Source organism: Homo sapiens, chromosome 14 (genome assembly GCF_000001405.40).
Source record: "Homo sapiens chromosome 14, GRCh38.p14 Primary Assembly".
NCBI classification, from domain to species: Eukaryota; Metazoa; Chordata; class Mammalia; order Primates; family Hominidae; genus Homo; species Homo sapiens.
Window position 1 is genome coordinate 104,376,961 of NC_000014.9, and position 2,225 is coordinate 104,379,185.

The 2,225-nt window shown below is 49.1% G+C and overlaps 1 long non-coding RNA gene across 1 annotated transcript; it reads right to left on the reverse strand.

Annotated features, from left to right (window-relative positions):
• Positions 1-749: 749 nt before the first annotated feature.
• Positions 750-1,984, reverse strand: LOC124903394 (uncharacterized). The gene is made up of 2 exons (XR_007064360.1): positions 1,921-1,984; positions 750-860 (listed from the first exon to the last, which is right to left on the reverse strand). It is a non-coding gene; the product is annotated as an uncharacterized LOC124903394 (long non-coding RNA).
• Between the last annotated feature and the right edge of the window lie 241 nt (positions 1,985-2,225).

Below are 2,225 nucleotides of genomic sequence, written 5' to 3' on the forward strand. Positions count from 1 at the left end.
TTCCTCTCTGACCCTGAGCTTTCTCATCCTTTTCATTAGGATCGGGACAGGCCTCTCCTGGGCTGCTGTGGGGACCCCAGCAGATGGGTGTGACACCGAGCCCAAAGAAAGGGGCTTGGGACACTCTCAGCCCCTCTGGATATAGAAACCACCCCACACATTGTCTGAGCTTGGCCCTTGGGGAGTGACTGAGGTGCTTTTGGCAATTGTGCAGGGACATAGGAGCCCGCAGGGGCTGTCAGGATGGGCTGGGAGGCTGGCGGCCACCTGCATGTTGACCAGCACCCACAGGGGCCCTTGGGCCTTGCCTTTGCCAGTTGGAGATTCTCTCTCGCCACCTTCCTCCTCTCTTCCAGCCTCGTCTTAGGGCTGTGGAGGCCCCTCCCTGCCTGGGGCCTTTACAGTATATGCTGTTTGATCACCCCTACCCCAACCTGCCTCCATCTCCAACCTGCCCCGCAGGCCCCTGTGTCCCCTCGTCCCTCCACCACCGTGCCCTGCACACCCCCAGCCCAGGCTTTGCCCAGAAGACAGTACACTTGTTTCCAGAACCCGGATCAAGAAATAGAATGTTTCTCACCCCCAAAGCCCCCATACCCCAACCTCAGAGGCATCCGCTGTTTCAACTTCCTACACTGCAGACAAGTTTTCTCCCGCTTTTGACTTCCGTCAGATGGACCATACAGCGGGGGCTTCCCCAGGTCTGGCTTCCTTCACTCCACGTTGAGCTGTGAGCGTCAGTCATCCTGTTCATACAGCAAATGTTTATTCACATTCGTCGTTCGCTGCATCCCTTTATGACTACACGCCGGCTTTGTATCCAGCCGCCCATCCGTGGACACTTTGGTTATTTCTGGTTTCTGGAATTGGAAGCAGTTATAAACACCTTTTACGTGTGTCTTTTGGCAAAAATGCATATGCACTTCCATTGGGTCTCTATCTAAGGGGGGAAAAGCAGGGCAATCGTACATATGCAGGTTCAGTGTAACAAATGCTGCCAAGCAGTTCCACAGGGCATGTGCCCCAAACACACACCTCATGTCCTCCTTGCACGGGACATTTTCTCTCTTCCCTTTTGGCCATTCATTTTAGAGGGGGTGTCCCATCGTCATTATAGCTCACATCTTCCTGCTAACTAAGGAAACTTAGCATTTTATTGTTCATACATTTAGTGGGCATTTGGATATCTTACTGTGCGAGATGTCAGTTCAAATATTTTGCCTATTTTTCTATCTATTTGTCTTGCTCCAGTTTTTAAAGGATTGATGTGTTGGGCTTTTTAAAATCTAGATATGAGATTTTTGTCAGAGATATGTATCACAAATGACATCTCTTAGTTGTCTTTTCCTTCTCTTAACAATATCTCTGATGAACAGAAGTTCTTAATTTTAATGTGGTCCAGTTAATTGATCGATTTTTTTCTTTATGGATAATGCTGTTTGTGTCCCATTTAAAAATGTTTAGAATTCTAAATCCTCTCAACACTGGGATGATTCTGAACTATGCTTCTGACTTGTGATGTACTTTCTGTCCTTTGTTTCAGCAGCAACTCGTCAGGCAGGGCTTTTATTTCCTCATAGAAATCATTGATCAGAATATCAGACAATACAGGACTGATGTCAGAGTCCTGGGGGATGCTGGAGACCCCCCTCCAGGGTGACACCAGGTCATTAGCTAACTCCCTTTGTCTATAATTGTATATAACAGACACATTCCACCTAACAGATCATCTGGGATGGATTTCCCATTTCATCCTCAAGGATAACACAGCAGACCTTGCAAATGCCTGCTGAAATCACAATCACACGTCCCTTGTCTGCCAGTCTAAGGACCATGACAAGGAAAGACAATGATGTTAGTCTCACATGATCACCTCTTGGAAAACCTGTGTAGTCAGAGGGGGAGGGTGCGGGGGCTTACCAGTGCTTGTGAAGCACGCTGGATTTTCCGCTCTTCTCTGGGGCTCCATGTGCTCTGAGTTCTGATATTTTAAGAAATTGGCAGGGGCACTTCAAATCCAAGAGCAGGCGCCCCTGACTCCGTGGAGCCAGTTGCCTAGCAACTGCCTCTCATGACATCATCACCAGCAATAGTCTGGGTACCCGAGACCCAGAGCAGTGAGCTTTCAGGGGAGGAAAGAGGGCCATGCAGAAAGAGAGGAAGGGAGGATCACTGCTGACTGGCCGGTGAAGGCCAGCAGGGCTTCCTAGAGGTGGTGGGATTTG